This window comes from Homo sapiens, chromosome 18, assembly GCF_000001405.40.
Source record: "Homo sapiens chromosome 18, GRCh38.p14 Primary Assembly".
In the NCBI taxonomy this organism is placed as follows: Eukaryota; Metazoa; Chordata; class Mammalia; order Primates; family Hominidae; genus Homo; species Homo sapiens.
In genome coordinates, this window is record NC_000018.10 from 74,927,606 (window position 1) to 74,942,005 (window position 14,400).

The 14,400-nt window shown below is 37.1% G+C and overlaps 1 protein-coding gene and 1 long non-coding RNA gene across 3 annotated transcripts in view, besides 4 other annotated features; one reads left to right on the plus strand and one right to left on the minus strand.

The window, feature by feature from the left end:
- Positions 1 to 9,007, minus strand: part of LOC124904323 (uncharacterized) — a 30,823-nt gene extending 21,816 nt beyond the window's left edge. The window contains exon 1 of the long non-coding RNA XR_007066414.1: positions 8,934 to 9,007. This is a non-coding gene — a long non-coding RNA (uncharacterized LOC124904323). The remainder of the gene's footprint in view (positions 1 to 8,933) is intronic.
- The window catches only part of ZNF407 (zinc finger protein 407), a 467,802-nt gene that overhangs the window by 329,736 nt on the left and 123,666 nt on the right, over positions 1 to 14,400 (plus strand). The window lies entirely within an intron of this gene.
- Positions 488 to 1,307: an enhancer, noted in NCBI's record as "NANOG-H3K4me1 hESC enhancer chr18:72640049-72640868 (GRCh37/hg19 assembly coordinates)". NCBI's record gives its function as "activates a minimal SCP1, AML or CMV promoter by ChIP-STARR-seq in naive H9 embryonic stem cells {active_cell/tissue: H9 hESC(naive)}" and the evidence as "EXISTENCE:reporter gene assay evidence [ECO:0000049][PMID:30033119]".
- Positions 1,308 to 2,127: an enhancer, noted in NCBI's record as "NANOG-H3K4me1 hESC enhancer chr18:72640869-72641688 (GRCh37/hg19 assembly coordinates)". NCBI's record gives its function as "activates a minimal SCP1, AML or CMV promoter by ChIP-STARR-seq in naive H9 embryonic stem cells {active_cell/tissue: H9 hESC(naive)}" and the evidence as "EXISTENCE:reporter gene assay evidence [ECO:0000049][PMID:30033119]".
- Positions 1,308 to 2,691: a biological region, named in NCBI's record as "P300/CBP strongly-dependent group 1 enhancer GRCh37_chr18:72641053-72642252".
- Positions 1,492 to 2,691: an enhancer, noted in NCBI's record as "P300/CBP strongly-dependent group 1 enhancer chr18:72641053-72642252 (GRCh37/hg19 assembly coordinates)". NCBI's record gives its function as "activates an origin of replication core promoter dependent on BRD2, BRD4, P300/CBP, MED14 and CDK7 cofactors, with strong dependence on P300/CBP, by STARR-seq in HCT116 cells {active_cell/tissue: HCT116}" and the evidence as "EXISTENCE:reporter gene assay evidence [ECO:0000049][PMID:35650434]".

The window sequence follows — 14,400 nt, forward strand, 5'->3', positions numbered from 1 at the left end:
TGCAAAAAGAGTAACATTGTTTAGCTTTTCTTTTGAACATGAGGTTCAAATTAGATAATCCATATGAAAGAGCTTGAAAATTGTATTCTTTTAAGAAAGTTACTGGATTTTGTTACTGCTATTTTAATAGTAGCAAAGTAGAAGGAAAAGACTAATGATTTTTTTGCATGTATTTCAAGTTGCTATTAAGGATAATGAATCTCATAACAACAAACATATATATGTGTACACATTAGTATTCATACATACATATTAGTGTAACAGTCTGAGCATATACTAAAATTAGGGCTACAGAAGGCCTACTTAAAACTTTTCAGAGTAGAAACGTATCATTTAAATAATGTATTTAAATTATTTCTATTATTTGTATGTTACCTATGTTGAAGAAAAAAGCCAAACTCTGTTGGATGTTTAAAGATGTTTATCCTGTGCCAAATATGAGTGACCATGGCCTGTGACACAGTCTCAGGAGGTTCTGAGAACATGTGCCCAAGGTGGTTGAGTTATAGCTTGGTTTATATATTTTAGGGAGACAGAAGTTATAGCCAAAGACATCAATCAATACATGTAAGGTATACATTTGTTCAGCCCAAAAAGGTGGGACATCTCAAGCAGGGAGTTAGAGAGCTCACATGTCATAGGTGGATTCAAAGATTTTCTGATTGGCAATTGGTTAAGTTAACCTTTGCCTGAAGACTTGAAGCCAGCAGAAAGAAATGCTTGAGTTAAGATAAGGGGGATTGTAGAAGCCAAGGTTCTTATTATGTAGATGAAGCTTCCAGGTAACTGACTGCAGAGAGAATAGATGGTGAAGGTCTCTTTTAGGACCTTAAAAGGTGTCAGACTGTTAGTTAAATTTCTGCTGGATCTGGAGAAGACATGGAAAGGGAAGGAGATTCTCTACAGAATGCAAATTTTCCCAATAAGAGATGGCATTCCAGGGCCATTTCAAAGTATGTCAAAAAATATATTTTGGAGGTAAAATACTTTGATTTCTTATAAGACCTGCTATCTGTCATGTAATGCTATACCAGAGTCAGGTGGGAGTTGAATATCTTCTTGCTACAAAGAGTCTGTTTTGTCAATCTTAAGATCTCTATTTCAATGTTAATGCCGACCAGTTGTGCCTGAACTCCAAAGGGAGGACCTTGTAGGGAGGCCTGTCCCTCCGGCCTTCCCTTCAGGGCCGGAGCTAGTTTTTCAGGTTTCTTTGGGATCCCTTTGGCCGAGAAGGGGACCATTCAGTCAGCTGGGGTGGGGGAGCTTAGAATTTTATTTTTGGCTTGTGTCTACTGCACTCTGTAGTTTTAAAACTGTTTTTTTAAAAAGAATATCATCCTGAAAAAAGTATCCTTTCTACTGTATAGTTTAGCGTTCTGTAAAGTCCTGAATGGCATTCATAAATTTAAAATAAAGTTAGAGTACACAATTAAAACACAGCTTTTGATGGTAACACCTAACAAGATTGGCCGAACTGGCTCTCAGGCTCCCGGCTCACTCATGCTCATCCTGTCACTACAGGACCTTAAAGAAAAGTTTTAAAGTGATTTTTAACTTTTTTCCAGAAAAAAACTATATTCTCCCCTTCCTTGAGTGTGCTGGCCAAGTGTGATGGCCTGTATGATTCGAGCCGCGCCAGCGCTTCCTTCCCGGCTCCCTTCCCTGCTGCGCCAAGGTCACCCAGCCACGTGGCATTCTCTTACCTCATGGCAGGCAGCACTGCGATCTTATCAGAGCTCACATTTGCAGCCTTCGTGAACTGGATTTTGAAAGTTAAAACAGTTAAAAAAAAAAAGTAAACAAAATTGAAAATCGTGATCTTATCCCCTCTGACAGCTTCATTTATCAAAATTTTAAGGGAAAAAATTGATTGTGAAAAGTTATAGTGGGGACGGTATGATTTTATCAGGTAATTGATGTGGTTTTTACTTTTATATAGACTTTTTATCAACTAATTCAATATAACTTACATATTTTAAAAATTTGCACACCCTCACACACATATTTTGACCCCCACCTAAACAGCAGTTTTAGATGAGGAAACAAAGATCATGTTGCCCACTCGTGTTGCTACTACTGCAGAACAAGTTACTGTTCCAGCTGAAGCCGTTTACTAAAGAATAGCATGACAAGTCTTTCAAATTATCAGGGAAATTTAGATACATTGTTTCATTAGCTTTGAAATGTAGTTCAGAATATGAAGTAATGCACATTATTACTCTTTGCAATTTCATTTATTTCTATTTGCAGTGAGGAAAATTACTATTTCGCAAGTTTTTATCTTAAATGATTTTAAACTTACAGAAAAGTTTGCAGAAATAGTACAGAGAGTTCCATATATCCTTCACCCAACTTTCCCAAATGTTAACATCAAACATAACCATACTACTTACGAAAGCCTGAGAATTTAGCATTAATACGTTGCCATTTTCTATGCTGTATTCTCGTATTCAGAGTTTATCATTTTTCCACTCACATCCTCCTTCATTCCCAGAATTCAGCCCAGGAACCAACATTCCTTTTAGTTGCCATGTCTTCTTGGTCTTCTCCAGTCCAGGACAGATTTTCAGTACCTTGGCACTCTTAAGGAACATGGATTTGTTATTTTGTAGAATGTCTCTTAATTTGGAATAGTGTGATGTTTACTCATGATTTAATTGAAGTCATTTAAGAAAATACCAGAAGAAATGTGTGCTGTGCCTGGAGCACCTGGTGACTGAGGACGTCCGCCTGGCCCATGGAGTGAGGTGGGATCTTCAGAATCCTCCAGTGGCAGCTTCCTGGTTTTACCTTTTTAATCAGTACACATCTTGGAGAGAGCCTTTCAGACCACGAAAATAGCCTATTTCTCCCCAGTCATTTGCCCAATAATTTTGACATCCATTAGTTTATCCTGCCTGAATAAGGTCTGTGATGTTTAAATGGTGTTTTTTTTCTTTCCTGCATTTCTTCTACGTTTAATAATTGGAATTATTCTGTAAGGAATGGTAGTTGGTTCCTTCTTTCCCAGTTCTTCATTCTATTTCTTTTTATCATTGTGGAGGTATTTTATCCTGAGGTTTATAATCCAATACCATTGTGGCTTATTTTCTTACTGAAAGCACTCCTGCCTTAACCACTGCCCCCTCTTTCCAGTCAGCTCCTGTGCCCTGTGTGCACCCCCATCCTTTTAGAGACATCTCTTTACTTTTCAGGCACCACAGTGTTCTGTGGGTTCATCTTGTGTTTTCCTTGCCATGGTCCAGAAATGAATCACTACCTTAAGGAGACCTGGTTCCTTTGGCTGGAGAATGGTAGTTATAAGCCAAGATATATACACTGTGTGGACTCATTGCTTCTGTGTACCTCTGCTTCTAGGCCTTCGCAGCAGATAAACAAGGAAGTGTAGGTATGTATACTAAATCCTGCATTCCTGTGAATATAGATGTTTTTCTCTATCTCTCTATCTAGAACATACATTATCTAAGACCTAAATATAAGAAATAAAACTGTAAAAACCCTTCAAAAGGAACGTACAGATAAAGCTTTATGACCTTGAATTAGGCAATTGTTTCTTGGATGTTACTCCGAAAGAACAAATAACAAAAGGAAAACATAAGTTGAATTTTATCAAAATTAAAAATTTTGTGCTTCAAAGGGCACCATCAAAAAGATGAAAGAAAAACTTATAAAATGAGAGAAAATATTTTGCAAATCTATCTGGTAAGGGACTTGTATCCAGAATATACATAAAGCACTCTGTCACTCAACAAGAGCAAGGCAAATAACCTATTTTAAAAATGGACAAATGATCAAAATAACCATTTCCCCCAAAGACGATACACAAATGACCGGCAAGCCATGGAAAATATGCTCAACACCATTACTGTTAGGAAAATGCAAATAAAAACCACAGTGAAATTCCACAGCTAGGGTTTTTATTCTTTTTGGCAATTATTAATAGAGAGGCTTTAAACATTCACATATAAGATTCTGTGAATATAAGATCTCATTTCCTTGGGTATATACCTAGAAACGAGATGCCTGGATTATATGGTATATTTAACTGTCTAAAAAAAAAACTGTTGAACTATTTTTCAAACTGTCTGTGCATAGTATGTTCCCGCCAGCAATGTGTGAGTTCCCGTCACTCCACGTACTCACCAGGAACTCATCGTGTGGTTTTAATTTGTATTTAACTGATCACTAATGATGTTGAGCATCAATTCATGATTATTTGACATCTGTATATTTTCTTTGATGAAGTGTCTTTTGAAATACAATATTTTTCCCCTTTTTTCATTAGGTTGATTTTTGAGATCATTTTTATTTTATATTTTTGACCTGAGACCTCTGAAATATGATTTGCAAATATTTTCTCCTAGTCTGAGACATGTCTTTTTTTCCGCCTCTTAACAGTGTGTTTCATACAGAAAAGTCATAGTATTCATAAGGTCCAGTTTATTAGTTTTTTCCTTTATGCTCTGAGCTTTTGATACAATATCTTCTAAAAGCTAGTTGCCTAACTTGAGTTACAAAGAATAATTTATATATTTTCTTCTAGAAGCTTTATGCTTTTATTACACTTTACATTTAGTTCTGTGATCCACTTTGAGTCATATTTTGTATAACATATAAGGTGTAAGTCAAAGTTCTTTATTTTGCATATAGATGTCTCATTTTTTTCAGCAGTATTTATTGAAAACACTGTCCTTCCTTCATTAAATTGCCTTTGTTCTTTTGTTGAAAGTAAGTTAGCAGCATTTCTCTGGGTCAGTTTGTTTACTCTGCTACCCTAGCAGTTTCTGAAATTAAGCATGCATGGGTTTGAAATTTTATCCTTAAAATGCCACAGTTGGATATGTGCATTTCCCCTCAGCTTCGTGTGTCCATCTTCTCCCTCATCTGAGACGTAATTTAAACTCATCACAAATGTGTTTGGCTTGTCACTGGCTCTTCTATGTCCTGAATGACTTTTGACTTAGCCTGATATTTGTTATAACCAATCATTCAAAAAAAACTTATGTGTAAATAAAATGAGATCTGCATATTTACATCCAGAATGTAATGCCTAGTAAAATTATTATTCTTCAATTCTTTAAGTTATCAAATAAGAAAATGTGTTCACTTTTTGTGTATGATGTGATTCTGGCTACCACCTTATCTGGTGGTAAATAATACTCACCAATTTAGTATTTTGCATTCACTATATTTTTCTCATTAGCTAAGAAATATGCTTTAATAAAAAAAACCTACGACTACCACCTCATACCTATTCAGATGCCTCCTGTCAGAAAAATAGAAAATTGCGAGTGCTGACAAGGATGCAGAGAAGTTGGAACCCTTATGCGCTGCTGAAGCGAATGTACAATAGTGCAGCTGCTGTGGAAGCGGAATGGCAGCTCCTCCAAGAATGAAACGTAGAATTACCGTATTATCCAGCAGTTCCACTTTGGGATAGATATCCCAAATCATTGAAGGCAAGGTCTCAAACAGGTGTTTGTACACCCATGTTCATAGCAGCACTATTAATAGTGAAAAAGTGGAAGAAACCCAAATGTCCATCAACAGAAGAATGGATCAACAAAGTTTGTTATATATTATACAGTGGAGCATTACTCAGCCTTAAAAAGGAAGGAAAATCTGGCACATGCTATTACATGGATGAACCTTGAGAATATGTTAAGTTAAACAAGCCAGTCACACAAGATGGCTTACATTGATAAGTATAATTGCATTATAATTCCACTTACAGATGATGTGCCTAGAGTAGTCGAAGTCAAAGAGATAGAAGGTAGAATGTTGGGTGCCGGGAGCTGCAGGGAGGGAAAATGGGGAGTTGTGTGACCAGGCAAAGTTAAGGTGTTGTAAGATGAAAGAGTTGTAGAGACTGGTTGTGCAGCAGTGTGATGGTACTTAATTAACACTGCTGAAATGTCCACATAAAACTGATTAGGATGGTAACTTTTATGTATGGTTTACCACAATTTTTAAAAATTACAAATACAAAAATAATTTGGTACCCCTATTTTTTCTGTCTTCCACACTTACCCATTTTAGAAGATATTAAATACATCTCTTGGTTGGTGAAGTGCCGTTCAGGGCAGAGATTTGATTGGGATGGGAAAAGTGGAAGTGGGGAAGAGTGAATACAAAAATTATACTAAATGGCTTGACCTTCTGAAATTTAATGGACTAAACATATGTTATATGATATGTTCTAGTCAGTGTTTGAAATATATCCATTTAATGAGGCAAAATGTGAAGTAAAATATTTGAACTTACAGACATGTTTACACTTCCTTGTTTTCTTTTTTTAATTTTTCCTAAGATTAAAAACACTTTGATGCATTATTTTAATAGGTAAAAATTTATCCTCGTAATCACTTAAATCCCCTAATAGCTTTTACTGCAGCAGAATATACTGTAGGCCCCAACTAGATAAAATAGCATTTTTGATGGCTGGTCTAGATGCTTCTAAAAAGCTGCACAGACTTGTTCACTCTTGTCATTGCTCTTAGTGTCGTTTGTTGAGTAGCATGTCAGTGTGATTGACAGGAAGTCATTCTTTCGTCTTGTGAAAAATTATAATTTTAGTGCATGCCTAAAATAAAAGCCTAGCATAAATGGTTTCGTGTTTGTGAAGGAAAAGGCAAGATTCTTTCAAGGGTAGTATAGATGAATTTAATCACTATTGTATGGAATATAAATTTTATTTTTTTTCTCATTGAGAGAGTACTTTTATTGGGGAACTATGTTTTAGGATTTTCTCCACATTCCTTGTCTGGTTTCATTAAGTTAATATGAATTATAATACCAGTTTCCTTCCAGATGTTGGCCAGGAATAGATTTGAACTTTGCTGTCTTAAATGGAAACAACATCGCAAGCTAAATAAATCCTTTTGCATCTTGGAGTAAGGTTTTTGTCAATTAATCACTTTTAGCTGGGCATGGTGGCTCACGCCTATAATCCTAGCACTTAGGGAGGCCAAGGCGGGTGGATCACCTGATGTCAGGAGTTCAAGATCATGGCCAACATGGCAAAACCCCGTCTCTACTAAAAATACAAAAATTAGCCGGACATGGTGGCGCGTGCCTGTAATACCAGCTATTCGGGAGGGTGAGGCAGAAGAATCACTTGAACCCGGGAGGTGGAGGTTGCAGTGAGCCGAGATCATGCCACTGCACTCCAGCCTGGGCGACAGAGCGAGACTCGGTCTCAAAAACAAACAAAAATTAATTGCTTTTTGTGATAAATGTCTTGGAATGATTAAATAAGCCAATATTTGCAAAGTACTTAAAATAGTGCCTGCCACTTATTAAGTACTCTATGAGTATTTAGTTAGTAAAATATATAACTGAAATTACTCTATGTCATTTATATTCATTTTAATTATGCCAGTAGATGCTGCTCTTGAGTGACAAGAGTATCCCAAGTTACATTTTATATTAACATATGTGACCTCGATTCTTGGCACAACTTGCATATTCATGTTTATGTACCCAATTCTCTTGATTAGAAATGACTATTTGTAATAAATAGACTGTTTTAAAGAATCCATTAGTACAAAATGACAGACATGAAAATGCTCAGATAGTTCTCTTGCAATTTTAATATACTATTTGGTAGTATTAGAAGTTGACTTCATCTAAAGCTTTATTATTTTAAAACACACCAAACTCATAACTCTTCTCATTTATCAGGTATCTCAGTCCCATAGTTTGACATTCTTTATGTTGGTAACTAAGTATTTATTGAGTCTATTGACATTTTCTTAGAGCATCTGGTCAACACTGAAATGTGGTACTTCTTGGTGTTTTACAAATAAACCACCGACAGGATTAGGCTTTTTTAGATTAACCTTGTTGTTCAGACAAAGCAAGCTTCTTGCTGAAATCGGGGACCAGATAGAATCCCCCTCATGCACATTTAATTGTAATCAATTCTTTCAGCTTGGAAGTGCTCTTGCCATTTAAAGGAGTGTTGGAAATAGTGTGTGCTACGGGGTGGCAATGTGGCCGCAGCTCATGTAACTTGTAAACACGGATGATTAATCTGAATTGCATGAAGGCAAGGGGGAGGGTACTTGGTTTTGTAAAACTTGAATAATCAGAGAGGTGAGAAGAGGAGATCGATGGAAGCACCGAGCAGGCAGAAGAGACTGTAGGCAATAATGTGTACCAGGGAGGAGCTCAGAAGTTGAATTGTGCGGCACATACAGTAAAAGCTGAAAAAGGAAGATAATCCAACAGCTGGCTCTTTAGAAGAGGCTGAATAATACTTTAGGTTTCTGTTTGTTGTCTTTTAATGGTTTCCTAATGTATTATCTCCATCCATATTTCTGGCCTTTTCTCCCTGTATGTAATTTTTTAAAAAAGTTTTTTCTTTTTGTGATGTGTGCTTTTAGATCATGATCCAGAACTCAATCAAAGAAGTAATTTTGGTTTTAGATATAATTCTGTGATGGCACTTAATATATTTTCTTTTACTTTTCACTCCAATTTCTCTATCTGCTTCTAAGGAAGTATGTTACGAAGACATTTTAAAGATATTTGATGCTCAGTTTGAACATATTAAATTTTTAAATATCTTTTTTACATTGAAAAGGACAATTGAAATCCAGAGCTATCTATTTTTATTATTTATGGCAGGATCAGTTTGGGTGTGTTTATCTTCTAGGCATTAAGATGTCAAGATATTCGCCTGTTACATTAATATGCATAGTCATTTTCACTCAAAGTGTAGGATACAGTATTTTATCCTCATAGTGCAGACAAAATGGAATGTTTGGCCTAAAGGGTTTGATATAGACCCCAAATCTGACATGTTAGTTTATGCAGACGTTTTATCTGAGTGTTTGTTTAGTGAGACTCTGCCCCTGCGCATTTAGGCTTACTCTCCACATCCCTCTCAGTGAGTCCCAGGCTTCCACATGATGAAGTCGCAGACTTACCACCACCCAGCTGTGCCCACCTCCTGAGAAAACAGAAGACTCCGTAAGGGGAACTCAGGTGTATGGCTAGTTCCTTCTCTTGCTAAGCCAGCCGCAGGTAGGATCTTTGACTCTGTATGAACCTCTGTTTAAAACCTATACCGAAAGAATTCTAGACAGTTGGGATACAGTTAATTCCAGTTGTGTAGGATTTGCACTGATAAATCAGAACAGGAAGATACCATCCCATTTCAGAAATATGGTCATATGAACTTTCTTTAATATTTCCAAATAATTAATGAAAAGCATTTTTATCTGCCGATGATTTCTGAATCATCATTGAAAAGCTGAATTAATAATTCTCAAACTTTTTGGTGAGAGAGGTTTTAGAAACTTCTTTGACTTTGTGAAATTTATAGTGTTGTAAAACACAGTTGAAAAGTTCTGATGAGACTAGAAATTAATTCATTTGAGAAGTTATAACTAATCTTGTGTTTATACATGCTGGATTATCACCAAACAAATTTTGGACATTTTGCTCCCATGATATAAGGTTGATAAAGAAAAGTGAAAGGTGCTTTAGGAAAGCACCCCTGAGCAAATGACCTGTATAGAGCATCTGGAAATTTCTTCCACAGCCATATGGCTTCTGTTCTCTAGAGCCTGGGCAAGCTCTAGAAAGTAGCATTGAGTCAATTCCATTTTATTCTAGATAATTGACCATATCATACATGGTAACAACTATTTTATACAAGCAATCACTATTTGCCAGATATGAGGCTGTTTTTAAGAGTATCATTTAATTTTCAGAACAATCTCATGCTACTATTAGTTTTAATTTAATGGTATGGTAGAAAAAATGAGGTAAAATAACTGACTGAAACTTTAAAGACTAGCACTAGAGTTTGAAGCCAGCCTGTGGTTTCTGTATAACCACTATTATGCTACTGTTTTATGCTAGATAATTGACAGTGTTATATGTGCTGCTTGGATTAAATGTCACCATCCCAAAAGTTTTATCAGTCAGGGTTCGACCACAGAAGCAGAACCACTTTGAGTGATACAGAATAAGGGATTTATTGTAGGGATGAGACCTTTCATAATTGTGAGAGTTAAAACCTTAAAAGTGGTTCTAATGGAATGAATTCAGTTTTATGTATGAAAACTCACTTTAAACCAAGAAGTTTTAAATATGTCTACCATATTTTATACATATCACATGTTGGATTTGCTTAGCAAAATACAATTTTTTGATCACCAGGCAGGGGATCAATTAGATCAAAGACCAAATTCTGAACATTAAGTTTTAAAAAATTTAATTATGTAACCATATTTGAATCAATCATTAAAATTTCACAGATATTTTTCTGCTCCTAAATATATACCATGGGAAAAGGTGGTGAGATTATACTTGGTAGACCTGGAAATGCTCTGTCTTCCACAATACCCATGGCTCACATGTGATATTATTATTATCTGCATAATGCTCATATTCAGGACTTCTGCAGTTGTGTTTCATGAATAGATTGTCATTTTAATTCATGACCTCTTTTTTACCAATCCCAGCGCATTATGCTTATGAGCGGGCCCCATAAAATTCAGAATTCTTACATTGCTCCTTTGGCTTCTTTTAGAACATTTGACCTTATTTATGACCTTCTTTTGTCCATATAGTCATCATAATTGTCTTGATATGTCTTTCCACATATTAGGGTGATCTTATCCCCAGCATCATGCTCTGAGCACGAATTGGTTACCTCTGTATTTAGGGCCGTTATAGTAACCAAATTTTCGTCATATACTGGTGAAAAATCTACAATGTAGACTTTCTGTATCTGCTGCCTTTGGGTGAATTTCCAGGTAGTATTTATTAGAGTGATCTTTCCACCTATTTCTTGACTCTGACTGTGATATTAACCTTTTGTAATTAAGACGCTCTGTCTCTTTGACACATAGTGTACCCTTTTAGATCGTCTTAATTTTTTTTTTACCTCCAACCATTTTTTAAAATTTTATCCATTTACTCGTGTACCACTTCGTTGGTACCTTTCAAATGTTAAATGCTGTCCCATTTATCCTTAGTAACCATGCTGAATTTTTCTGTCCTTTTTAATATTTAGGTTTTATTGGATGAATGTAGATTGCACCTTCTCTAAGTGTGTCTTAAATAATTGCCACTTAAGGGAATTAAGAACTACAAGGGAAGGAAAATGCTGACCCATAGACTAAAGCAGAGGGAGAAAACGTTCCCACTGGGTCCAATTTTCTAAGAAGGACCATCAGGATAGTGGCTAGGGCCTGAAATTATGGTCTGAATGACCTCTAGAAAATGATCTGTTCACAAAGGAACTTGCCTGTGTTTGCAGGAAGCAAATAGGGATAGGTAGCAGTCACCCCACTGAAGACAGACAGCTCACTCTCTTGTCCTTGGTTAGGTTATAAAAGCTCAAGAAGAGAAAACAGTCATTAAGAGCATAGAGATAGAGTTGACATTGCAGGGTAAGACATAATCTAAGGTGTGAGGCGACCTTTTTGATTCAGAAAGAGAGGGTAATAAAGTATCTTAAATTCTAAAGGCGGATTTTTTGATCACATATATTTATAATTTTAGGGCATGATTTCTATTGCTTGTAATATGTATTCCTTTATCTAAACATGCATACCTACAATATCCTCTAGACATTTACATTCCACTTTACTCTTACTTTGTTTTGTATTCGGAAATCTCAAGAATAGAAATATTGAAATATTACACCTGAAATACAAGAAAATTGATCATTATTTTAGTGAAGTCTTTATATATTGACAGATAATCACTGTGTTTTCTGTTTAGAAACAAAACATGAGATAACAAATTTTTATATATGAATATATTCAGCAATGCAATAATTTGAGATCAGAAGTGAAATGTAAAAATTTATAACATGTAAGACAGATAACAGGATTAATATGTATTCCTTATGTATAGAAACCTCCTTTGATTTTTTAAAAGACGGATCTGAATAGGCAATTTAAAATGCAGATTACCAAAAGTATATGCAAAAATGCTTAACCTCATTAGTTGTCACTACATCAAAACAGTGAGATGCCCCTTTTTATCAATCGACAGAAATCTAAAAGGTTGACGGTACCCATTGATGAAGCCTATGGAGGAAAATTGGAACTCTCAACATATTAAGTGCAAGCTTTTCTATATCATCTACAGTGTGTTGCTTTTTGTAATCAAAAGAGAGAATAACAAATGCTGTTAAAACTATTCTCAAGACCTCACTGATAGAAATTAAAGACCTGCTCTTTTCCAGTTAAGATATTGAGATTGTTAGCATGGTGTGGCAGAAAAAACACTTGTCTTATGATGAGATAAACCCAATTTTGAACCAATTCTGACACTTTCTTGCTGTGTGATCTTGGGAAGCTTACACACCATGTCTCAGTTTTAGCTTTTTTAGGTAGAAAATGGATACAAAAACCTTTCTTGGTCATGGATTTCATGAGAATTAGCTTATTAAGTTACATATGAAGTCTCTGCCACAGTACCTTTCAAATATTACCTGCCCATTAAGTAATCAACTTTTATGAAAGATTCCGAGGATTAGAAGAAACAAGTAGGTTGACTTGCTCCATGTAGGGATCAACTTATGGACAGAACATATGTGATTGCAGTCATTGTGGAGCTTGTTGTAGCCAGAGAGGCAGACATTGTATGGGAGCCACCAGTAGAGCATGAGATGACACCTACTTGAGGCCAAAGTCACTTAGGATCAAACATAACAGAATAGGAGCTTTGCGGGGGCACTGAGGGCATGGAAACGCCTGCCCCTGCCCAGGGAAGGGGCGTGCAGCTGAGACCTGAAGGACTTGTCTGGGCACTGGGGTGGGGCTGGCCCAGGAGGACTTTGCTGGCCATTAGTATTATCTGGGGAGGAAGCTGGGCCCAGGAACCAGGGTTCTGTGCAGCTAGAGGGAGGGAGACACCAGAGGAAGCTGATGCGCTCAGGGCTAATAGGGGCCAGACTTGAAAGGTATGTTGAGGATTTTGAACCAAGAAGAAGGGGAAACCAGTGAAGGTTGTAGCAGAGAAGCGACATGGTAAGATTTGTGTCACTCTCTAGCTTTGTGCCTTGATAAAATGTTTAACTTTCCTATGCCTCTGTTTCCTTAAAAACACTGAAGTCATAAATCCTACTTTGCGGGGCTGTTGTAGAGAAAATGAAGGAAGCCTCTCTGCTCCTGTCTGCGGCGCACAGCTTGGTGAAGCGTCGCTCCCTCACTTACCTGGATCCTTTATTCACCTCAGCCCCCTGAGCCAACCCCAGGTCACGCTACGGAACCCTGTAGGTGGGCAGGGTGTGGAGGGGGAGCTCATAGTTCTTGGGTGTACTGCTCAGTTTTCTTTGGTTGTTTGTTCTATAATTGGGGTGGTAGAACAATGCACATAAAATGAACTTTCTTTCTAGACGCTTACACAGACATCCCCTTTGTTAGCTCGGGGTGACCTAACAAAGATGTGGAAGGGTGGGGTGAGTGCCCTAAGTGAATCCCAGTGGCGGAACCGGGCCCGTCCTTGCCTTGCCCTGCTGCCATCCCTCTTATTCTCTTGTGACTGCTTGACTCAAGACTTTCCTGTTGGAGCAGCTTCTTCCCATTGCCACAAAACTGACATCCAGTGGTTTCTGTAATGTACTTAGCAATAACAAAGGACTTTCACTGATCTCTCATGGCCTGCTGATCCAGATGCTGGATTTCTTGCCCTGTTATTTGAGGGTGTCTGAAGTCGGTGTAGCATGTGCATGTCACCACCCTTTTCTTGTGCTCTCTGGCCTCTTGCTCACTCTCCCTTGGCTGTTTGGGCCATGCTGCAGGAGGGGCATACTGGGTGGGCACATTTGCTCCACAGGAACCTGCTTTCATGTAGCTCCAGCTTGTAGTAGGTTTTCTCACCGATGGTTCATTAATTGAGGGATCATGATATTCCAGGCATAGAGCAAAAAGCAAAAACACATACACAACACATAATGTACTATAATGGGTTGCTAAGCAAATATTTGAATATAGCATTTCAAGTATAAATAGGGTTGTAATAAATCAGAGTTGCTGAGAATGGTATTACATGGGTTAAGCATGTATGTTATTCCTTTCTCAAGTAGCAAATGGAGTTGCTGGGTCCCCCTTCGTTTCTTTCCTGTGCCTATTGGTGCCAATATAGAGCTACAGAAAAATGCTTTCGTAGGCTAGGATACTTAGCTTTGAGGCTGAAGTCTCCAAAATAAAGGAAAAACTTTCGCAACAACGGTGATGATGTTATTCGTTGAGGATTGTTTTATTCCTTCATATAAGAGTTGACAAAGGTATTCCAGGGCTCGAGTTATTTCCCACCTCATATGCAGATTCTCCATATTCTCAGAGACTTCTGCAGGATGGCAGGATTGTGTTAGAATAAAATCGGTTAGACTAAAAATAGATGATCTTCATTTCCAGATTTGGATGC